Source organism: Homo sapiens, chromosome 18 (assembly GCF_000001405.40).
Source record: "Homo sapiens chromosome 18, GRCh38.p14 Primary Assembly".
Classification (NCBI taxonomy): domain Eukaryota; kingdom Metazoa; phylum Chordata; class Mammalia; order Primates; family Hominidae; genus Homo; species Homo sapiens.
In genome coordinates, this window is record NC_000018.10 from 54808631 (window position 1) to 54834052 (window position 25422).

Consider the following 25422-nt stretch of genomic DNA (forward strand, 5'->3'; position numbering starts at 1 on the left):
TTCAGTTCTTTATTGACAAATCTAAATCAATTTGTTTTCCAGTCTATAGTAAAAAATGTAAAATAATGATCATGTGTACACACACATACATATACACACATGCCTTACAGACTTCCAGTTTCCAAATTGATACATACAGTTAAAGACTCCCCATATCACTAAATGAACAGAATAAATATGAATTATTAAAAACAGAAAAATATGGAAAATAATAGATATCTAGCTGTGCTAAAAAATGAGAAGAACCTTTAACATACCAGAAATTATGAAAAATTGCAAAGGGAAAACTAAAGGAAAGCCATGCTGCTAAGATGAGGCCACAGTGAAAAGATGTAACCCAGTGTCCACAGAAGAACTTTTCCTTAGGAAAGACAGTTGACAGTGCAATTAGTACATGATCAATTCTTTGGTTGAAATTTTCCCCCATTGAATTTGTGTCACTGAATTGTATTTTCTTGAGCATTTTTCCAGTTTCTAGTAGAAAGTTGTAATAGGTTACATGATTATCTAGGAAACATTGACACCCTCCCACCTTGCCTCAGGGAATAATTATACTTTTTGACATATTGTTGTTAGATAGGACACATGACTTGCTCTGAACAGTGGTACGTGACTACAAATAGCATCAGTTTCAAGCATGGGTATTAAGAGTTTTGTCTGTTCAGTTTGTCGATCTGGTTGCTTCTGAAGTCTACCACCAGTAGAGTATGCACTGAAGAGCTGCTACCCCTATAAACCTGGGCCCCAGAGTGAGAACTATGGAGCAGACCACATGCCTCAGGGAGCACCTAGTCCCAGGAGGAGGAAAGACATGTGGGACAGACTTGAACTCAACCTGCGAGGTGAATCCTGGAAACTGGAGCACAGACTAGGTCACCTAAGTTGCAGCCAATCCACAGATGGGTGAGCAAGAGAATAAACATTGGTTCAAGCCAATGAAATTTGAAGAGACTTATTATAGCTCATTAATGAAGGAAAGTTTTAGCTAATGCATAAGTCAAAACCAAGTGTTTGGAGGCAAACCTGTTAGGAAATGCTTTAGTTAAGTAAATGTAATTGATTATAAATAAATTACCCATTTAATACAATTCCACATTTATTGAGAATCCACCTACATGCCAGAGACTATGTAAGATGCTTTTCAAAAATTAAGTATGGATGTTGTTAAACAGATCCTACATTAAGATTAATTTCTTGGAAAATTGGGCTATCCTTTCTTAATTGCTTTGTAGACAATATACGCATTCATGTACAGCTAATGATATTTTGAATTGTGCTGACTTTTTAAAAGTGTAAACAGTTATGTTTTACTGTTAAGAATTTAAATAATCATAATTTTATTATTCTGACTGTTCAGCTTTTCAGCATTTGCATAAATTGAAGTTTTGAGAACAATTGATCTGAAAATATTATTGAAAATATACCACATGAGAGCAAGTGAACATCCTCAACATATACAAAGAAGAACAAGTGCCTAGAATGTACCCATACTGAGTGAGAGATGGAAGGATAAAGAGTTAAATTAAAAGATGCTGGTGTCTTTCCTTTAAAGGGTATTTATGCCTACTTTTGTGTGTATATTTTCTTGGTAAAATTAAATTTTCAGGTTTCACAGTGAGGCCTGTCATTTGTATGCCTCCAATAAATTTGCTCGAATAAAAATTAATTCTAGGAAATATTTTGCTTTCCTAATAATATATATTTATCAGAAATTTCTACCAAAGTATGTGTCAGGTATGCAACCCTATAAAGTAGTTATTGTTATTATCATCTAATTTACATAAAAGAGTAAACAAAAGTTTAGAGAGATTGTGAACTTGTCTGAGTTAATATAGTTCTGAAATTTAAATTCAGGACTTCACAGAGTTTGTAAGTGCTCACTAAATAAATGTTGAATGAATGAATTAAAAAAAATCAGGCTGGGTGCCAAGGCTCACACCTGTAATCCCAGCACATTGGGAGGCTGAGGTGGGCAGATCACTTGAGATCAGGAGTTCAAGACCAGCCTGACAAACATAGTGAAACCCCATCTCTACTAAAAATAGAAAAATTAGCTGGGTGTGGTGGCGGGCACCTGTAATCTCAGCTGCTTGGGAGGCTGAAGCATGAGAATCACTTGAACTGGGGAGGAGGCAGAGGTTGCAGTGAGCCGAGATTGTGCCACTGCACTCCAGCCTGGGCAACAGAGCAAGACCCTGTCTCAAAATAAATAAATAAATAAATAAATAAATAAATAAATAAATAAATAAATAAGAAAACCTCTGTGAACCCTCCCCCTGCAATTGTAGACTCCTTGAGACCAGGAATCATGGCTTTTGTATGAATTCTGTTGTTAAATTATCTTTGTATCGTCAGCATCTAGTCCATTATTATTGGTTCTCGATAAATGTTACCTGAAACGAATACATTTCCTATGAAAAAATATAGCCTAATATTATAATATTAGAATCTGGATTGTTTTATTACTTTTTGGTTAGTCTCCCCATGCTTTATCACCTGAGTCACTCTTGAGAAATAAGTTTCCTAAAGTTTTAGAGGGGGGAAGAGGCACACTACATAGAGACTGTGAACTCAATAGTATCTGAGATAGGTCTCAATCAATTTAGAAAGTTTATTTTGCTAAGGTTAAGGACATACCTGTGACATAGCCTCAGGAGGTTCTGATGACATGTGCCAAAGATGGCTGGGGTAAAGCTTGCTTTTATACATTTTGGGGGATGTGAGATATTAATCATTATGTATAAGAAGTAAATTGGTTCAGTCCGGAACGGTGGGACAACTCAAGAGGGCAGGAGCTCCCAGGTCATAGGTAGATAAGAGACAAACTACTGCATTTTGAGACTTTTGAGTCTTCGATCAGTCTTTTGCTGAATGCACAATTTACACGAGAGGAGGATGGAGGAATAGTCACTTACGCTTTAGTCTGGCTCGGTGAATCTGCATTTTTACATAAACAGTAGGGCAGAGGAAGCAATCAGATATGCATTTGTCTCAGGTGAGCAGAGGAATGACTTTCTGTCCTACACCTGTGAAGATCAGCTATCGATTTACGTTGCCAGGGTGAAATTCAATGGAACTGTGTTTTAGGGTAAAGATCTTGAGGCCTTCAGGAATTTCCTTGTGGACAGATTGTGAGGGAGGTTTGTGGCTTTTTGTCTTTGCAGCTTTCTTATTTAGGAATAAAATGGGAAGCAAGTTTGCCTGATGCAGTTTCCCTTTGGCTTAATGATTTGGGGGTCTTGAGATGTATTTTTCTTTCATAAGACATTCACTCAATGCCCATATTGCAACTTCCTATCCATCCAATACTTTTTTACAGTACCTGGTATTTTTAAATGCTGAACATCTCAATGGGTTCTGAGCGAATCCATCACTCTCCTCCATGACTCCTAGTGAGGGGATTTTGTGTAAGTTTGCTCTGATAAGGTAATAAGCACACTTGCTAATGTCAAAATATCTGTTGTACCTTTCTCTTGCTATTGTCTTTATGAATGAATACCTTTCTATTAGTTTCATTGACATTTTGGGGGGTTTTGGGATGGAGAAAAGATAAACATGTTGTTGTATTAAACAGAATTTTAGAATCTGGGTAATATTGAGATCAATAGTTGGCAAACAGAAATGAATGAAGGATTTGAGTTTCCGGGTTCTCTTTTTTTGTTGTACATGATTATATTTCCTCATCTGTAGAATGAGTGGGTTTAACTACAAGAAAATTTACAGATGTTCTGGAAATAATCCTAGGAGATGTTAAATAGGAGTTTTACGAGTAAAGAAATTTTATTGCCAAATTGCTTTGGATGAGATAGGCTAAATAAAGAAGTTTCATTACTTTGGAAACCTTAATGTGTTAGTACTCATTGCAGAGACAGTAGCAGAGGCAGAATTTCCCAAAGAAGTCTGACCATGGAACTCCTTTAACACACACACACACACACACACACACACACACACACACACACACTCTTATGAATACCTTTCAGGTGTAGTGTTCCATGGAAGAGAGTTTGGGAAATTTTAACCTAGACAATTGCTTTCAAATTTTGAGATTCTATGACTCTACATTAATTAACAAGGACATTTTAAGAATTAATTTTTAATACTTTATTTCTAATGGTTTAAAGATGAAATACTAGAATAATTTAAATCGTAGTGTGAGGAAAACAAAATATATACAAGCACACATATATATGTATATGTACATCTGTACACAATATCTATACCAAATAGTTGCAAATAAAACTAATAATTCAAGAAATATTTTCCCCATCTTCTTGATGCAAATGATAATTCTGTCTCAGCCTGAGAAATAGAGTGAATAAAGAAGCATAGATTCTCTCTCACCCTCTGCAATTTTACCCCTTAGTTGACATAATTCAGAGAAGAAACAAAATGTCATGGCATAGAAATATGCTAACACCTTGTTCTCATGCTGCTTTCGGTTGTGGCTTTTCTCTGAGGTTCTGTGGTTCTTGTCTACTGCTGTGGCTGGAGAATACCCCAGCGCTGAAGGGGTTTTCTTTACTCTTTTCTGTATCCCATCTGCTTATTGAAAAATAAATAAGATAGGAGTTTCTTACCTTCTTCTATTGCCTACTTGAAGCAGAGGTAAGAGGAACATTTAAAAATGTAGTCTGCTGTGCCATGTACTAGACATGCTATGAGAAAGTTTACGTGCCTCATTTAATAATTAAATCTCCACAAGGGATTTGATATGGTTTGGATATTTGTCCCCTCCAAATCTCATGTTGAAATGTGATCCCCAGGTTGACAGTGGGATGTAGTGGGAGGTGTTGGGTCATGGGTTGGATCCATCATGAATGGCTTCGTGCCCTCCCCATGGTAATGAGTGGAAATGAGTTCACTCAAGATCTGATTGTTTCAAAGAGCATGGCACCTCTGCCCTCTGTCTTGCTTCCCCTCTCACCATGTGATACCCTGGCTCCTGCTCTGCCTTCTGCCATGATTGTAAGCTTCCCAAGGCCTTGCCAGAAGCCAAGTAGATGCTGGTGCCATGCTTCTTGTACAGTCTGCAGAACCATGAGCCAAAATAAACCTGTTTATAAATTACCCAGTCTCTGGTATTCGTTTACAGCAACATAAACAGACTAACACAGGAATAGATATAAATATGTCAATTCACCTCAAATCAATTTTTGGAAGGAGATGAGCGATATCTATACTTCAACATCCCCAGGTTATCATTTTTTTTAATGGAGAAAGAAGATAAAGTAACTTATTTTTCCACACAATGGATAATTAGTTGGTAAGGTCAGTAATGGAACTTGGATCTATGAAACTCTGATAGCCAAGCTCTTTCAACTCTAAGCACCTAACATAGTACTTTTTGTATATGTGCACATTTCAACAAAAATTGACTTTCCCTATGTATGCTGTTTTCAATTGCTTAGTTCATATGCATTGTGCATCTATTTTCATTTAATTAAGCACTGTCTTACAATAACATTTCAATAAATTCAGTCTGCTTTGAGTGGATGAACAGTAATTTATTTAACCAAATCCTCTATTGTTAGGGACAGCAAACTCTCTCTGTAAAGGGCCAGATAATAAATATTTCAGACTTGTAGGCTATGACAACTACTTTGTCACAGTTACTATTCATCTTTGCCATTGCACTGGGAAAGCTGTGAAAGATGCAGATTTACAATCCAGATTTATTGAATAAAACTATTCTATTTTTAAAACCCTACATAAATTAGTATTTGTTTGAACATTAATGTGGAAATATTTTTGATTTAGCTCAAGGGAATAGGGTCGAATGGAGGAGGGAAATCTATGGCTTTTCTTCATGTGTTGTTGTGTTGTTTCTCCAGTTGCCATGGGAAAACATTTTAAAAAAATTAAATCCCAAATAGTGATCCCACTGTATCTGAGTAAGTCAATACTCCAGAGCAGATTACCCTCCTGGTTATTTTAAAAATATTTTTAACAATTGGCAGGATATATTTCTTAGATTAGTTATATCTAATCCCTCTTCTGTAGATGATAAAAAGGCAAGGTTTGTTAAGCATATATTTTTATCTTCCCAACACAAAAATGGGATTAATAGAATAACAACCATGCCAAAATATTAATATTCTAAAACCACATTAATCTTTTGAATAGATATATTTCAACATTTAACTGAGTTAACCCATTCAGTTACTTGAGTATATATACTACAAATAGTTTTTATTGTAGAATACTGAATGAGGCTATGTTCATCAAGTTTATACGTTTAAGTGTCTGTGAACACGTTTGTGAGTCAGGGCTGAAAGGAATGTGCTGTTATTATTTTGTGTTTGGTATTTATCAGTTTTTCTCATCCTTTATTTCACAACCACCATCTCAACCCCCAACCCCACCCTAAGAAGTCTTTACAGGCATTTTTTTCCCTAATTGCCACCCAAATGAGAATTTAATAACACAGATATACTGTGTATCTGTTTATGTGCCATAGATATATCTGTGCTTCATACATAAAAAGAGTAAGATCATGTCACCTCCCAACAACAAATTTTGCCTCCCTGGGGCAATATTTTTCTCATTGAAAATGCATGGATTATAACTACTTCGATTGTTTTCCAAGGGTCAGACTAATCTTCCATGAAGTATTATTGCAGGAGTATGGTAACTATGTACTAGAGAAGGCTTAGAACAACTTGCAGAGGATCCTCCCCTGTTTTAAACTTGAGCAGAAACAGGGACCCCTTTGTGCAGACATAGCCATGTCAGACTTCTCAGCTTTCAGCTTTCATGACAAGACATCATCTTACCTCATTGGCTAAAGGACAATGATTCTCATTTAACCACCAACACGTAATGGCTATTTTCCAAATACTCCTGGGAGATACAGTCTCAAATCCCTCTGCCTCTGGACTTATCAAAATCTGTGTACCTGAGAATAGTCTATCAATTCCTTACTCTAAAATCAATTTATTGATTTAGCCAAATCTTCAAGGAGCATCATTTTGTAAACCCCTCACTCCCTTATAGAAACTCTTACTACTTTTCTTGATAATTCTTTAATAATTTGCTATTAAAGTCATTCTTCTACATTGAGGACCATTTTAAGAAACCACCCAAAGCAATTCATCATGGTATTTACTATACAAAAATTCTTAAAGTTATAGCTCATTATGTTCCACCATGCCTAGCTAATTTTGTATTTTTAGTATAGACGGGGTTTCTCCATGTTGGTCAGGCTGGTCTCGAACTCCTGACCTCAAGTGATCCACCCACCTCGGCCTCCCAAAGTGCTGGGATTACAGGCGTGATCCACCATGCCTGGCCAGTATTATTATTAATAAATTACCAGCTAAATAAATCTTTCTTTAAGTACCAAAATATTTTTGTTTCAATGTGAACATTTATCAGGTTTAAATATCGAAACCCCTATCTTTTTCAACTGGCTTAATATAGTTTGTGTATGTGATGGCACAAATTCACCAGTACAAACATTCACTGTTTTAATATGCTTAAGTGTGAGTAGCAAGTCTTTCTGGAGTTACTGTGAAATGTAGAGTTGGTTGTTCCTTGTCATGGCCAAAAAATATCAATTGTGCCAGCAAAAACACTAGTAGGTTGGGAATGCTTTCTGGTCCCCACTGACCAAATTGAGGGTATAAGGCGAAGGCCAAATCAAGAGTAGGTGAAATACGATAATAGTTGCTTCTACATCAAACATGGGGTCATAGAGTCATGGGGTTAGGGGTTGAATTCAATTTCGAGATATTTCGCAAATTTCCAATATTTTCAAAAACTTGTATTTGTAGTATTTTTAAATCAGTAAGTATATCCGTGCCAAGACGACTGAGGGATTGACATATTTGGAGCTATATGTTTAAATATTTTTCTAATTTATTGAACATTAATAACAAAATGAATGGTTTAAGCAAATATTTTATTTTTTTAAATTTGAAACAAAAGATTTAAGGATAATTTTTATCTTGACAGTGATAGTCTCAAAGAAAGTGAAAAACACTTCCAGTTAGTTGGAGAAAACAGGTTCCAAATCGTGGTTCCAAGTGTTAAAATATCTTAGAGTTAGGATCATTAAGTGGAAGTTTGGGCTGTGTGTTTTCTGATTGCCACAAATCCATTTTGTCCATTAATGAGTTGTGGTGAGGCTAAGGGCAAACCAGCAATAGCCAAGGCATTTCTGTGATTTATTTATTAAAATGCAAGACAGAGAGTTGCTAATATGTTTATCACTAATTGTGACATAAAGTCATAATATAATGACTAATGTGAAGGAGTTGTCCTTTCTAATTTTCACAGAGAAAAATATACAAATGTTTTGTATCATTATGGCTCAAGAAATGTATTTGCTATAGACTATTTTATTGCAAATCACATTTATTTCGAGAGTCTGATATACAATACTTTTAATCATTTTCACAAATCTTTATTTCTAACGTTTTACATCTCAATTTTTTAAAAAAATCAAAGTTACTGAAATTTAAAGCAAGAGATTCTGTGTTCTTTTCCTTGAAACTTTCCTTGCTAAGGATGTGAAGGTAATTAGCAGATTCATTCAGTTATTTACTCAACAAACATTCATTCTTTGGACACCTATTGTGGCATCAGGTGTGTGAAACTTTTATCAGCAGAATGAGTTATTTTAAAGCCTTCTATTTTGAACATATAAGATCAAAGATGAATTTATCACGTATCTTTGGCAGAACTTGGAGTAAAACCCAAGGCTTTAGATTTAGAGTTCTTATTGATCTTACCCTATCTGGAACTTGGGAAGACCCTCAAGTTTATAATGTATAGGCTTCCAAAATAATTATCCTACTAGGGAATGTCACAGGCTGTATGCATCACTCTGTTCTACTACCAATAAATATTTTATCATAAATCTTTTGGGCATAAAATACAAGAAACAGAATGGCTTTGTCGGAAATCTGGATTAGTTGGAGAGTCTTGCAAGTAATTTAGTAAATAAGTCTCTTAGAGCCATCTATCCAAGTATACCAAGTATTAGAATATGTATCTATTTGATTAGTTGCATTAGTTGCAATTGAAGTAATCATCTGATTAAGTTTATAGCTATTCACTGGCATTCTTGAAGACCCATCCCATCCACCTTCTACACAGTCAGTGTAGTGAACCTAGAGGAGATCTCATAAGAATCACCAGAAATTAGTGTCACCGTTAAGGACTTGAATCCTTAACGGTGACACTAATTTCTGCAGTTCTTTCAGAAAATGACTGTCCTATTGGATATATTCTCTTGAGTTGTGTTGCATAGTTTCAGTATCTTTGAATTCACTCTTCCATCACATTATCCTTTCATCTGTAGGAAGGGAGGAAACGGCAAAATAGATATGAGGTGGATTTGAGACTCCTATTGAGCCCCCATTGAAGTCGAAGTTGGTTAAGCCACAAATCCTGACTTCAATCTTTGAATTTCAGTGGCTTTCTTGTTATCCAAATCTTAGTGATAGCTTAGAGTCAATTTTCTATTATTCTGGAAATGTTCCTGTTCTCCAATGCCAATTACCTTGGCAAATAGCCGTACAATCCTTTGGGAAATTTTAGGCAGCAGACATTCTGAATGTATTTGTAATGGTATTGCAATGCCCTTCCTAAAGAGTTAGGGTGGGTCTTTGAATTAAGACAGGGCTTAATCTGGGTTTGAGTTTCATCAAACTGAGAAAACAATTACAAGCCCTCCCAGCTAATCAAACTAGTATATTATATCCTGTGCATCTATATTAATCAATTCATCCTTTTCTAAAATTGTGTTCCTTTCTCCTTGGTACAAGCACCCTCAGAATTCATTCCCATACATGTTTATCACTTTGCTTATACAAATGATGAAGTTCCATATTTTTTTTTTGGTGTAAGACTGCTTCTCCCTCATTTGGCATTTTGTTGTCCCTACTCCAGGGCATATTGGCATGGGACTAGAGCCATAAGCAAAGGCATTCAACCATGTGGTTAGTATGCCTCCACTGGAAGTACTCAGTGCTATTGCATTCAGGTCCTACACACCACCATTCCTGCCGTGAGAGCCTGACCTCCCACTTTTACAGTGGGATCCCACTAAGACATGCATCTGAGAAAGCCCCACAATCAGGAGAGAGGTTTGAATGCTCTATAACAACGTGACTAGTGTTCACCACATTTTACAGGTAGAGAAATGCAAGAAAATGAGAAGTTCTTATTAATTGTATCTTTATCCTAATCGTGTTTTTTAAAATAAATTCTCATAAAACTCATCTCTTCTGTTAAGACTCACACCAAAAATATGACTATAAAAATATATTGTTTATAATTGATTTAAAATAAATTGAATGGTTCTAGCATATTCATATTTTATATGAAGTATGTAGGGATTTTCTTCCAGCCACTCAACCTTCAGTAGCAATGAAATCTGTAGCTAAAAAAATCCATAGAACAGAAACCTACTTATTGTTTATGGCAGCAATACATATTTCAGAAGGAATTGTATGGCCGTAGTATTTAGAATTTTCACATTACTTTAAAAATAGAAATGTACTTATTATAAATAATTATATATTAACATAATTATTAATGAATATTATATACTATAAATATTATATAATTATAATTCTAAATATAATAGAATTATAAAATATAATACATAAATATAAACATACTTATTACATTACTTATTTTAGTATACTATTAGAAATATAATAAAAAATAAAAAATAATTCCTTATAGTCATATAAGCTGTTACCAGATTGATAATAAAAATTGACTAGATCATACAAAAAATTAGCTAAGCATAGTGGCATGCAGCTGTAATCCTAGCTACTCAGGAGGCTGAGGTGGGAGGATCACTTGAGCCTGAGAGACGGAGGTTGCAGTAAGCCAACATCACAGCACTGCACTCCAGCGTGGGCGACAGAACAAGACTCCATCTCAAAAAAAAAAAAAAAAGAAAAAAAAAAGAATAGATCATGTTCCACATAATTATAAGGTTTATTTATTTTTTATTTATTTTTTATTTTTATTATACTTAAAGTATAAAACTTACAGTTTTAGAGTACATGTGCACAACGTGCATGTTAGTTACATATGTATACATGTGCCATGTTGGTGTGCTGCACCCATTAACTCGTCATTTAACATTAGGTATATCTCCTAATGCTATCCCTCCCCCCTCCCCCACCCCACAACAGGCTCCCGTGTGTGATGTTCCCCTTCCTGTGTGCATGTATTCTAATTGTTCAATTCCCACCTATGAGTGAGAACATGCAGTGTTTGGTTTTTTGTCCTTGCAATAGTTTACTGAGAATGATAGTTTCCAGCTTCATCCATGTCCCTACAAAGGATATGAACTCATCATTTTTTTGGCTGCATAGTATTCCACGGTGTATATGTGCCACATTTTCTTAAGCCAGTCTATCATTGTTGGACATATGGCTTGGTTCCAAGACTTTGCTGTTGTGAATAGTGCTGCGATAAACATACGTGTGCAAGTGTCTTTATAGCAGCACGATTTATAATCCTTTGGGTATATACCCGGTAATGGGATAGCTGGGTCAAATGGTATTTCTAGTTCTAGATCCCTGAGGAATCGCCACACTGACTTCCACAGTGGTTGAACTAGTTTACAGTCCCACCAACAGTGTAAAAGTGTTCCTGTTTCTCCACATCCTCTCCAGCACCTGTTGTTTCCTGAGTTTTTAATGATTGCCATTCTAACTGGTGTGAGATGGTATCTCATTGTGGTTTTGATTTGCATTTCTCTGATGGCCAGTGATGATGAGCATTTTTTCATGTGCCTTTTGGCTGCATAAATGTCTTCTTTTGAGAAGTGTTTGTTCATATCGTTTGCCCACTTTTTGATGGGATTGTTTTTTTCTTGTAAATTTGTTTGAGTTCATCGTAGATTCTGGATATTAGCCCTTTGTCAGATGAGTAGATTGCAAAAATTTTCTCCCATTTTGTAGGTTGCCTGTTCACTCTGATGGTAGTTTCTTTTGCTGTGCAGAAGCTCTTTAGTTTAATTAGATCCCATTTGTCAATTTTGGCTTTTGTTGCCATTGCTTTTGGTGTTTTAGACATGAAGTCCTTGCCCATGCCTATGTCCTGAATGGTATTGCCTGGGTTTTCTTCTAAAGTTTTTATGGTTTCAATTCTAACATTTAATTCTTTAATCCACCTTGAATTAATTTTTGCATAAGGTGTAAGGAAGGGATCCAGTTTCAGCTTTCTACATATGGCTAGCTAGTTTTCCCAGCACCATTTATTAAATAGGGAATCATTTCCCCATTTCTTGGTTTTGTCAGGTTTGTCAAAGATCAGATGGTTGTAGATATGCGGCATTATTTCTGAGGGCTCTGTTCTGTTCCATTGGTCTATATCTCTGTTTTGGTACAAGTACCATGCTGTTTTGGTTACTGTAGCTGTGAAGAAAGTCATTAGTAGCTTGATGGGGAAGGAAATAAAGGGTATTCAGTTAGGAAAAGAGGAAGTCAAATTGTCCCTGTTTGCAGACGACATGATTGTATATCTAGAAAACCCCATCATCTCAGCCCAAAATCTCTTTAAGCTGATAGGCAACTTCCACAAATTCTCAGGATACAAAATCAATGTGCAAAAATAACAAGCATTCTTATACACAAATAACAGACAAACAGAGAGCCAAATCATGAGTGAACTCCCATTCACAATTGCTTCAAAGAGAATAAAATACCTAGGAATCCAACTTACAAGGGACCTGAAGGACCTCTTCAAGAAGAACTGCAAACCACTGCTCAGTGAAATAAAAGAGGATACAAACAAATGGAAGAACATTCCATGCTCATGGGTAGGAAGAATCAATATCGTGAAAATGGCCATACTGCCCACAATTTGACTTCCTCTTTTCCTAATTGAATACCTTTTATTTCCATCCCCATCAAGCTACCAATGACTTTCTTCACAGAACTGGAAAAAACTATTTTAAAGTTCATATGGAACCAAAAAAGAGCCCGCATTGCCAAGTCAATCCCAAGCCAAAAGAACAAAGCTGGAGGCATCACGCCACCTGACTTCAAATTATAAGGTTTATTGACATTATTTCCCAAAAGTATAGTTTTAAAAAAGTAATCATATAGCATGTGATTCTTTGCTATCATCAAACCTTAATTAGCTAGCTGTTATTTTTATTTTTTTGAGATGGCGTTTCACGCTTGTCGCCCAGGCTGGAGTGCAATGACACGATCTCGGCTCACTGCAACCTCTGCCTCCGGGGCTGAAGCAATTCTTCTGCCTCAGTCTCCCGAGTAGCTGGGATTACAGGCATGGCCCCCATGCCTGGCTAATTTTTGTATTATTAGTAGAGATGAGGTTTCACCATGTCGGCCAGGCTGGTCTGAAACTCCTGACCTCAGGTGATCCACCCGCCTAGACCTCCCAAAGTGCTGGGATTACAAGAGTGGGCTACCATGCCCAGTCAACTAGCTGTTATTCTTTACAACTTATATCATCATATATGGCCAAAAAATAAGGCAAGATAATTTCCCAAATTATACCTTAAAAAAGAGATAGTTATCTTAACATTGGAGTCCTTATAGTTCTCTTATAAGGAAACAATCATCAAATTAATTTGATAAAAGTGTACTTTGAGAAGGAAAGACATATTTGCTTGAAATTATATTAATCAATGTTAGTTTAGATGCCTGAAAAAAATACCTTATAATTGGTTAAAAGGCCAGCAAGGAATTTAAGATGATTTAATAATCATTCCTGAATATATGACATCACAGCTTGAAGTGTTTGCAGTTTAAAAAGCAGCAAAATTAACAAAAACACTGGTTTTAGGTAACAGCTTTTGGGAAAATGGAGAAATCACCATATATTCATTTGTACTTATATGGTAAGCCCATATGACATTTTATTTTGCACCTCACCGTAAAGCTACCAGCAAAGCAAATATAATTAAACATTTTATATGGATTTGCATATGACTATACTTATGTCCACACATACAATTATATATGCTAATAAATGACTATATTTATGTATGTGTATTGTCATATGACTTGTAGAAAATGAATTATTCTTTCCTATTTGCTTAGTTCTTATTTTTATAACTTTTCTTCTCTTTAACTAGTTTTTAAAATTGATTAAACAATGTTGTAATTATTTCTAAAATTCTGCTTATAGGTTTTTTTAATAAAGATGTCAAATATTCATAGACAGGATCATGGCATACCCACACTACTGTGACTTCTTGGCAAGTTAGGACATTCATCAAGGCTATATGTGAACATCACTCGTGAAATTATTTGGGCCTTTCCCACAGCATGTTCCTCTAACATAAGAAGAAAAAATTAGACAAAATTACAATAATCTCAAATGAGGTCCAAGTATATCTTCATTACACATTCTAAGAAACAGGCAACATGAGGTTGGAACTGGGAAGGTTAAGACCTCACCACAGAGTAGATGCAGTAGGTACAATTGTGAAAACATAGCCAGTTTAATGAGCAGATATCTAAAATAGGTCTTTATGAGCTACACATTTAAAGTAATTTGCCAGTAGAAAGTCTCTTAAGCATGTATATATTTCTCAAAGTTACATATTCGTTGTGAAGAAAACTAGCATGGCCTGGAAGTCCAGTCTTATGACTTGTTAGTCACACTGTGAGGTTTTCTCAAACTGGAGAAGGGTGGATTTTTATTTGTGATTAAACAGACTTCTTCACATGAACAGAAAATCAGCAGGAGGTAGGGGCACACCCGTGCATAACTTTCTGGTGAAGCCTTCCCTGCAATCGCAAGAGAAGGGTTACGAAATCTCGGATCTCATCAGTGAGGGGGTCAAGTCAAGAGAAATTTTTAAGAGGATGGTGAAGGATGAAAGGCATTATCATGACCAGAAGGTCAGTGACTCATGCTACTAAAGACAAGAGAGAAGAAACCAAATATATTTGTTGTTTAAAGCTTACAAATGCTGGTTTTCTCTTAGAACCCACCTTTATTTTTCCTTCATGTTCTGCACTGCATCCCCCATACCTGGCAGTGTACCAGGCACAAGTTGCTTAATAAATGTTTGTTGAATGAATAAATCATTGTGCAAACCTCTCAAATCTATCTTCATTCTGCATTTCAATTCACTTTCTCCACTGCTTATAGATCATTATATTAAAGTATATGCAAATACTTTAATAAAGCATAGTGTTTTCTCTATAGAACAAATATCTTTTGTTTCCTTATGTGTATTTTAAGGGTAATTTAAAATTAACTTTATTTTTATTAAGGTAATACATCTCATAATTTAAAACAAAATCAAAATCTACAGTTCTTGTGGAACAGTGCAGATCGCCTCCTAAGCCCTGGTCTTAATCCCCACAGGCAAACATTTGACTCTTTAGCAGCTTTTGTACTTTTATATGTCTAATTGGTTTGCCTATCCTGCTATTTCTTTATTTAGCAACTTTACACATTATTTATTGATTTTTGTTATGATGATTGAGGGTTTAGCTGTCTTCTCTGCACATATACACAGATAGTCTTTCCCTCTGCCATCCTCCACATGTAGTTTTATTGTAGGTTAGGGTTAATTCTCTTGTTGGCATTCCCAATATTTTTATTATGTCCAGATCTGAACAAAGTGGTATTCTATCATAATGTTTCTTTTTTCTTGCAACTTTTTGTTTCTCATGGAGTTAATAATATCCTTTTAAAATTAGTTCAGCACACTCCGTACCTATTGTATATTATTCACAATTGCCTCTGACTGATCTTTAAGACTGTAACAGAGTGATCTAACTGTGGTAACAACTCTAAAAAATCTTCGTGGCATCATACAATACAAGTTTACTTCTAGCTCATGTGGTAGTCCAATGTGTGGCAGCTGAGGTAGCCATGTCACACCCTAATTCAGGTTCATGACTTTTCATCTAGGGGCTTTCATGTCTTCTAGGGGCTTAGAGCTCTTCGTTGGTTCTTCGCATCTGCGCACTAGTAAGGGAAGAGGGGAAGTGTGGAGGATCTCAGGGGTTATTTTATGGGCATACCCTGGAAGCGATGTACATGACTTCTGCCCACAATCCATGAACCAGACCTCAGTGACATGCCTCCCCACCTGCAAGGGGCTAAGAAATGAAATCTAGTGTGGTGCTCAGGAAAAAGAGCAGAACATGGAATCTGGCGGGCACTTCCCGCTATCTACTGTATTTTCAAATGCACATGTGTATCAAACAATCTATCATTTTCTTTCCATTTTTTTTTTTCTTGGAGACATTCCTACTGCAAGCCATCTGTTCACCTCTCTTTAGGCCTGCTTCACACTTATTGCTCTGGAGAATTTATTTTACTGCCTCTTATGTTGGGCCTGCATTTTTGGGGTTTCATCTCTTCCTCTTTCTTGATTTATAAGCTTGTTTGGGGAACTGTTACTTTAAAATGGCACACAGGATGTATATTTTTTAAGTCCTTGCATATCTGAAAATTTTTTAAAATCAAGCTTGGCTGACAGTTTGTCTTGATATACAATTCTAAGTTCAAAATAATTTCATTTAAAAAATGTGAAGGCATTCAAAGAAACTTCTGGATCCATTATTGCTCTTGAGAAATCCAATGCAATTTTTTTTCCTTGTATGTGATCTGCTTTATGTCTCTGGAAGATGTTTTAGGTTTTTCTCTTTATTCCTGCATTTATTTTATCTCAGAATGATATATTTCGATGAGTTTAATTATTTGATTAATTTAAAGGATTGTTTTCCTGGACGTTTAGTGAAACTTTCGATCTCCAAAGTTCATCATCTTCATTTCTGGTATTGTTTTTGCATTGTTTTCAAATTAGTGTTTTTATCCTTTTCTGCATAGAAAGAAGTCTTTTCTAGAGCTTTCTGAGATTTCCATTAGTCAGAATTTTTTTCCATTTTTTGAAAATTTTCTGCAGCTAAATAGATTTTTCAACTTAGTCTTCTAACCCATCTGTCAGTTTTTTTGTAAATGTTGAGTATATTTTCAATTTCAAAAGATTTTTTTCCTGTTTTGTATATAAATTTCTTTTTTATTCATTATCTCTAGGAGCAGGGTAAAAAGGCATGTGTTCAGTTCATCTTGTTGAACCACAAATTACTCTAGTTTACTTTCTCCAGAAAATAAACCTCCAGTCTCCTGGAAGCTGGATTGAGCAGATGGAGGAACTTATGGTTGGTTGATTGTGTGACAGTGGGGAAGGGAACTCTGGGTCCAAGCATTCCAATATACAGACGTATAACCAAACCCCTGTGTTTACCCCACCACCTGGCCTCCTTCTATGCTGAGATTTCTGCCTCCTAGGCCTGAGCCTGCCCAGGTTTTGCAGGAAGAATTGGCTTGCTTTTTACCATAATCTCTCCTGCAGGCATGCAGTGTATAGAATCCTCTGCTCTTCCAAATCAGTTACCACGCCTGCATCTGATTTAGCTTCTTCCAAAATTCATTACAAGTTTATGTGTTATTTTATCTGCTTATTTGTCTTTGTGATTCAATAACATTTAAAAAAATTCATTTATTCTTGTAATAAAGCAGTTTGAGGAGAGATGAAATACATGTGATAATCTTGCCATTTGTAACTACACATCACCCCATGTACATTAATGTTTACCTCAGTGCCATATTGATTGAATTAGACAGATGTTATGTCTACTTAAGTTATGCTACATAAACTCCAGGTACAGGAAGATGTTATTACTATTATTATCATGACACACAATGCTGTCACCTTGTTTTCACTGGTTTTCCACTGTTTTTTATTCTGCTCTACCTCTGGTCAAAGTGGCCTTCATGGAGTGGCCAAGCAACATTTCTCTTATGTCTTCCTACTCTTTCTCTTCCTTGGAACCCCTCTTCCCAGGGAAGGAAATGTTCCACCACTCTCTGGTAGTGTCACTATGTAACACTACTGAATCTGAGCCTTGGAACCTCGGAGACAGGACCATATGTGGCAAGTCACTCCAGGAGAGCTATCCCTGCAAGAGTTGGCCCTATAAAGCAGGTGACACACTTATCTAGGGAAAGGTGGCAAGGAGAGTCATCAATAAATGTGTGTGTCAGATTTTCTTATGGCAGGAACCTTTTCTAGAAGTTGCAGTGAGGTAGTACAACACAGTGACCACTGTGAGCTCGGCATTCAGGATCAATAGACCTGTCTTCCACCTTTTGAACTTCATCACTTTGGACAGATTTACTGCGACTTTCTCAACCTCAGTTACCTCATTCTGAAAATGGAGACAATAAATATAATAGACGCCTTGCCTATTTCACAGTAATGTTGTGAAAGCCAAATGAGATGAAACTCTATTGCATACAGGAAATAATAGCTATTAGGACTAATGTCAGTAGTGAACACATGAACTAGATAAAGAATATGGGTTATCATTGTATAGCACAGAGGGTGATTTTAAGTCAATGTGTTAACAGTGGAAAAGATTCAAGGCTCTTATGTTCTTTCTTTTATTTCTGTCTGGGCCCATGGACACACACTTCTTATATACTTAGATATTGCTGTTAAATGCAAAGTAGATTTATCATAAATATAGATTCCAAGCATACATACTTTGAAAATCTACAGGCTGAGCCTCAAAGACTTTTATGCAGTAGATCCAAAATAATTTTTAGGAACTGGATCTTACTTGGGGAGAATGGAATAGATTGTTACCAAAATTATAAGTATAGCCAACACATTCATAGAACTTACTGTGCCAGGCACGTTCTACACACATTACTGATATGAAGTCAATTCTTCACAATAACACTATGAAGACATTATTATTACTCTTCTTTTCAACTTTCAAGAACATTGAAGGACATAAAATAGAACTTCTTTAATAGTTTCATAATAGAATAGACAGATTTCTATGAGACCAAAATGTTTTCTCTAATATTCCATTTTTCCACTAGTTTGCTATTGTTTGTTTTGTGTTTTGGTTTGGGCTATTCCTTTGCTCCCTTCTACAAGAAATTCTCTGGGAGCTGATAACAGCAGTGCCTCCCAGATTGTCTCTAGGGCATCGAATAAGAAACAAGTTAAGTAATTAAAATTCAAGCAGTCATTGGCATCTCGTTGTTTACTAACATGAATGCAAGACACAGGTTTGGAACTTTTAAATTTTGTTCACAGAGGAGTAAATCGGTTGTTATTATAATGTACCTAACCTTGTATTCTTACCTTTACTACCAGTCTGTAAATTAGGGATGTCTGAATGTGTCTAAAATGGAATCCCAAGATGGGCAGCCAGGATCTTTGCTTTGTGGACGAATCTAATGTGTTTAGAACACGGCATAGCACATAGTAGGTGCTTAACAAATACTGGTTCAATGCCTCCGTGTGCTCATTATCTTACTTAGTGGTAACCTATTGATCTCTGAAGTGACTTTAGGAAGTGAATTAGGGCTTTGGGAAGTGAATTTGGATGTTGCATACTGATTAATGCATTCATACGAACACATCCTAACTTTTAAAATATTAATTTCTTTCCAACGCCCTCTTTTATTTCCCGAGGCCATCCTCTGCTCCCCACTCGCAATCCCTCGCCTTCACTCCTCATAGTTAATGAGACACCCCCTCGGAGGAGAGAACGCAATGTCAGGGCCCCAGTTCTCACAGCGCCCTGGGCTCTTTGAATGAGAGACATCAAAGAAAACACAGAACAAAAATGAATAAAAATGAGCTCGCTGGTAAGGCTAGAAGCCCCACAGTGTGGAGACTTCATCCCCGAGAGGAGTGTGTTTCTCACTGCAGCAGTTGAGTCACCAGCAAGACTTGCCTGAGGTGAGCTCCGCACATCCGCGTTGGGACTTGCAGACACGCCTTCTTCTCACACAAACCTTACCCAGCCCCGCCGCCGCGGCGGACTCCGAGGGTGGTGCCACCAGCCCTGCCACTCGCAGTCCTGACGGGCAGGGGCTGCGGACCGCCCGGCCTTGGACCCATCCGGAGCCACAGGTTGGAGGAGATAAGTAGCTGTCCCCGTGCTCATCGCCCTGTGGAGCAGATCCTGTCTCCTTGCTGACGGTGGAGCCCGGGAGTTCCAGGGCTTGGGAAGGGGAAGGAAACCTCTCTGAAATCTGACACCTGCTCTCCCGGCAAGGAAACTTCGCAGGCTGGTGAGTTGGGAAGGCGGGCTGCTGCTGCTGGAACGCGTTCCCACCCACCCGGGTGCTGCAGCGCCGGCCTGCGCCGTGGGAAGTGAGGCCTCTGTGTGTGTGTGTGTGCATGTGTGAGTGCGTGTGCACCTTCGATCGCGGTTTCCAGCAGAAATCCTTGCAAAGAAGACAGTAGTGCTGTGTGCTGCACGGATGGCATGGGCCAACTCGACCTGGCTCTCCTTGAGTGTTTGCTTATCAAACAGCTGGTTACCACCAAAAAAAGCAAAAAGAAAAACAAAAAGCCTAGGCACAGCAATGCCAATTTCCTTTCATTTGCATCTCAAAAAACAATCAAAATAATGAATAAGAAAAAGCATGGATGATGATGTGCTCAGAGTTTCATTCCAGGAGGAGCGACTTAGTGAGGCAAGCCAGGAGAGCAATAAGACATTTATATGCACTTCCTTAGATGAAATAGCCACAGAGACCTTAAGAGTACTTTCTGTTTTCCAATTTTTTGCTCTGTTACTTTCGAATTCTGATCTAAGTGTTGCACCAACTAGGGTATATGTGTGCATGTGTGTTCACCCAACTGATCACAATAAATTAGCTTTCAAGACTTTCCCACCCAATGCAACATTAATTAAGCCTCTGAAAACTACTGAAGTAGGTGAACTGTAAGCAGAGACTGCATTCCTAGGAAAAAGCTGTGTTTGGTTAGAGCCTTCACACCTGTATCATGTTTTGTGAGTTTTTTATGTCAAGATGTAAAGCTAAGGGTATGTAATTCCAGTTGTTTTAAACTGCACATCATTAAATTAAGCCCAAAGTAATAACATAAATTTCAAGGTTATTAACAACAAAATTATTGTTTAATATAATACAGCTCTGAATTTTGATTTTGTTCTGTTTATAAGAAAAATGTCTACAGTTCTCAATATTTAGTTATATTCACACATATTCATTCATATATAGAATATACAGGGTTTTATGGTTATAAATTTTGAAAAGTTGAGGGAAAGGATAGACTTAAGCATTAATATAAACTCAGATATTTAAGTTTAATGAATTTTCAAGCTGCTGTAAAGTCCATATTGCAGTGATGAAGAGAGAGACATACCTGTCATGTGCCATTGCCCCTCAAATAGTTATTTTTCATAGTTTCCTAGCATAATCCTCTACCCAGATGGGGTCAGCCATCCTTGAAGGCAAGAGGTGATTCCTACCAATGACCAAAAAGGGGTAATCTTGACAGATAGTTTAATATTAATGGAGCTTTTCTGTTTCAGAATTGACTATGGCCTCTCATACAGTGTTACTGTCATTGCTTTCGAAAGGAAAACAAAACATAGCAGATAAAACTGGATGAGCCTGTTCTCATAGTTGCCAAGAAGGGATAAAGGGAATCTGTTGAATGTAAGCAAACCACAGTTCCCCTTTCTCATAGGTCATTTCTGGAACAGGCATGTTTGACCCAATAGGGAAGGTAACCCTAATATAATTGATCTTCTTGGTAGAAGATCAGTTGGTATGCCAGTTTACACTACAACTGTATGTTGGTTTCAGAATTGCTGTTCATTTATTTCACTGTTTTTCTGGAAAAATGGAAGTTATCCAAATGTCCAGGTAGTTCAGAATAGAAACCTGCTCTTTTCCCACCCTCACTCCTGCAAATTTTTGGTTAGGTTTTTGGGCTCTCAGATCAGTACGGCATGAAATATAGAACAATTACTCATATAAAACTCATCTCACAATCCAGTTTCTTCAGTTGATTCATCAAGGCAGGTTGACCAATAGTTCAGCTCTTAAGCAAGTAATTGTAATGTTGAGATGCAAGGAAATGATTTCAATAAAAACAGACAGGACAAATCAGGTGTTTCCCATGAAGAATATGTCACTTTCTAAAGATGGCTGCCAAATGGGAATGATTTTTTTTTTAAATTCATTATTAGGTATATATGGGCTTAAGTATATACTATAGAAGTAGCAAGCAGCAACATCACTATGCATAATAACATACCTATTGTAAACCCCAAATATGGAGTTGATAGTATTACTCAATTTCTTTCACACCCTTTGCAATCATTATTCATGTTCTCCAAATATTAACCTCCCATTGGCACTCCTTAAATAAGACAAACTTGTCTAGATTGCCAATAAGGAGAGTAACACTCTGTTTATCAAATGGCCAAAAAAATCTTAAATAAATTTTGTCTTTTTAACTAAACAACTGCTCAATATATTGAGATAATTAAGTTGCTTGTTCATTTGTTCAACAAATATTTGGTAAGAGTGTTATGCACTGTTCAGGGCTCTGTGTGGACAGAAGTGGACCAAAATTCCTGACCTTGTAGAGCTTATCTTTTACCAGGGAGACAAAGACCAACCTAGATAAGCAGGGTGAGTCTATGGCACAGTAGCAAGAAGTGCTCAGCAGAGAGTATAAAGCCGAGGAGGCATGCAGAAAGTGTCAGTGGCCGGTGTCAGGGAGGACTGAAATTCTAGATCAGATGCCCAGGAAAAGCCTCACTGAGATGATATTTTAATATCAATCAGAGGCAAGTAATGGAATGATCCATGTAGATATGTGGAGGAAGAGCATTCTAGATTGAAGCATTCTGGCATCTTTCAGGAACAGCAAAGAAGCCCATGAACCTGGCACAGAGGGAGTGAGATGGGGGTAGCAAGAAATGGGGGAGAGGAGATAATGGGGACAGGTCTTGGAGGACTTTGAAGGTCCTAATGAACATGTTGGCCTTTGTTTTTTATTCCAAGTAAAATGACAAAACACTATGATTTAGATATAGCCCGTTGAACATTTTTCAATAAATATTTACTGAGCATACTATGAACTTTAATATTCGTCTAAGCCCTGTGGATAACAGATGTTAGTGAGATATACGAGGCCTCTGCTGTCATGGACATTATATCTGGGGTTTGGAAAGAGACGGATAAGTAAATAAACAAATTAGTAATTCTGGAACTTTTAGTGATACTAAGAAGAAAAAATGTTAAAGGGTAATACAATGAGAGTGACCTGAAGGGGACTGTGTGATTCGGTGGTCAAGAAAAGCCTCAGGGGAGGTGATTTTTTTTTTCTTTTTTTTTAACTGAGACAGAGTCTTGCTCTGTTGGCAGGCTGGAGTGCCCTGGCACGATCTTGGCTCACTGCAACCTCCACATCCCGGGTTCAGGTGATTCTCCTGCCTCAGCCTCCTGAATAGCTGGGACTACAGGCATGCACCACCATGCCCAGCTAATTTTTCTATTTTTAGTTGAGACGGGGTTTCACCATGTTGGTCGGGATAATCTCGATCTGCTGACCTCATGATCTGCCTACCTTGGCCTCCCAAAGTGCTGGGATTACAGATGTGAGCCACCGCGCCTGGCCAGGTGATGTTTTTAAAAGATCACTCTGGCTTCCTTGAAGAGACTAAGTCGTAGGGTGACCAGAGTAGAAGAGAATCCAGTTAGGAGGCTATTCCAGTAGACCAACTACAACAGTGGCAAAGATTAGGGTCAGAACAGTGGCCACCAAGAGAAGTAGATAGATTCAGGAAACACTTGAAGGCAGAGCTGACAGAACTTACTAATAAATTGGATAAAGGTGGAGGTGAAGAAAAGAAAGAACCAAATGATCAACAGGATTCCTACTGAAGACACTGGGTAGACAGAAGGCCATTTCCTAAGATGGATAAAACTAGGGAAGAAATGGTTTTAATGGGAAATGAAGAATTTATTTGCAGCCTTTTGAAGCGTTTTTCAACATCCAAGTGGAATTATCAGCTTGGGCTTTTGCATATATGAATCTGGGGCACCTAGAGGACATCATAGCTGGATATAGAAATTTGAGAAGCAAGTGGCTATGGATACTATTTAGAGTGATATCCTTGAGGACATCACTGAGAGAGAGATTACAGAGAAAAAATTGGGGCTTGAGGACGCAGCTCTGGCTTATTCGGACATTTGGGACCTTGTATGGGAGGAGTCAGTAAAAAGCCATTCAAGTGAAAGGCAAACCGGAAGAGAGTGTCATCATGAACCTAAGCCAGGATGTTTTTTTAGGATGAAGGGTGTGGTCAATGGTGTCAGACAGGGCCAAGATAAACAGTGAGATGAGGACAGAGAAGTGATGATTGCATGTGGCGGTGTGGAATCATTGGCAGCTCGGGAAAGAGATGGAGTTCTCAATATAAGATATTCAGAAAAACTATAAAAAATTCTGAAAATAGCATTTCACCTAATTCTAAAGAGAATTGAAAAGAGGCCCCCAGAAAAACTCATGAGGCTACGTACATAGAAGCTCTAATAAATTCAATTTTTTAAAATGACTTGTAGAACAGATGAATAAAGGAAACATATAATTAGAAATACTTAACGAAGGTGTTGTCTGAGCTGTGAGCATAGTTTGAAGAAGAGTAATGCACAGTGAGCCGAAGCTTGGGAAAAAATGCTCAGGAGAGCAAAAGATTATTTTCACATTGTTTGAAACAAAGCAGTGAATAAAGAAGGGTCATCTCCCTCTTCTTTCTTTTCTTTTTTTCTTTCTTTCTTTTTTTTTTTTTTGAGATGGAGTTTCTGTTGCCCAGGCTGGAGTGCAATGGCACGATCTCAGCTCATTGCAATCTCCCTCCCCGGGGTTCAAGCGATTCTCCCACCTCAGCCTCCCAAGTAGCTGGGATTACAGGCATGTGCCACCACTCCAGGCTAATTTTTGTATTTTTAGTAGAGGTAGGGTTTCACCATATTGGCTAGGCTGGTCTTGAACTCCTGACCTCAGGTGATCCGCCTGCCTTGGCCTCCCAAAGTGCTGGGATTACAGGTGTGTACAACTGCACCCGGCCATGAATCCCTCTTCTTTCTACATGAAAGAAAATAGCCTTCAAAATGGAAGGTCTAGACAACACCAAAAGAAAATTAAAATCAAAGAAAGCTGAGAAGTTATTGTGACTGCAAATAACTTCTTTAAATGAGAAAGACTAATGGCAGAAGTTGTCAAGAGGACCTCTGTGAGGAAAGGGCATTTCAGTTGAGACCTAAAGGTTGCCTGGTTGCTAGTCAGGTGAAGGGGTTGAGAAAGAACAAACCAGACAGTGCAAAAGGATTTGCTGAATTCTTAACCTGGGAAAGAGCTTGGAGCGTTCAAGAAACTGAGAAAAGGAGTTTGGAGAATGGAAAGCAGGTGGCAGAGAGAGGCACAAAGTGAGTCTGGAGGCACCAATGGGGAAGAGTCATTGCAGAAACTAGACAAGACCAATGAAGATCAGGAAGTGCAGCAACCTAAAACTTACTTGTCAGAGCTGTTATAGAGATGACTTCTACTGGGAGGTTGAACTAAACAACCCTCAAGCTCTCATCCAAAGCTATAAT

At 37.4% G+C, this 25422-nt stretch overlaps 1 protein-coding gene across 8 annotated transcripts in view; it reads left to right on the forward strand.

The window, feature by feature from the left end:
* The window catches only part of RAB27B (RAB27B, member RAS oncogene family), a 177660-nt gene that overhangs the window by 90774 nt on the left and 61464 nt on the right, over positions 1–25422 (forward strand). For 4 of the 8 annotated variants that reach the window (XR_007066208.1, XM_017025913.2, XM_006722518.2 and 1 more), the window contains exon 3: positions 19466–20070. The exons of 3 other annotated variants lie outside the window; for them this stretch is intronic. The gene's annotated coding sequence lies outside the window, so the exon portion shown is untranslated. Of the gene's footprint in view, positions 1–19465; positions 20071–25422 lie in introns of those variants that run through there. One more of the 8 variants, NM_004163.4, reaches the window with a different exon arrangement.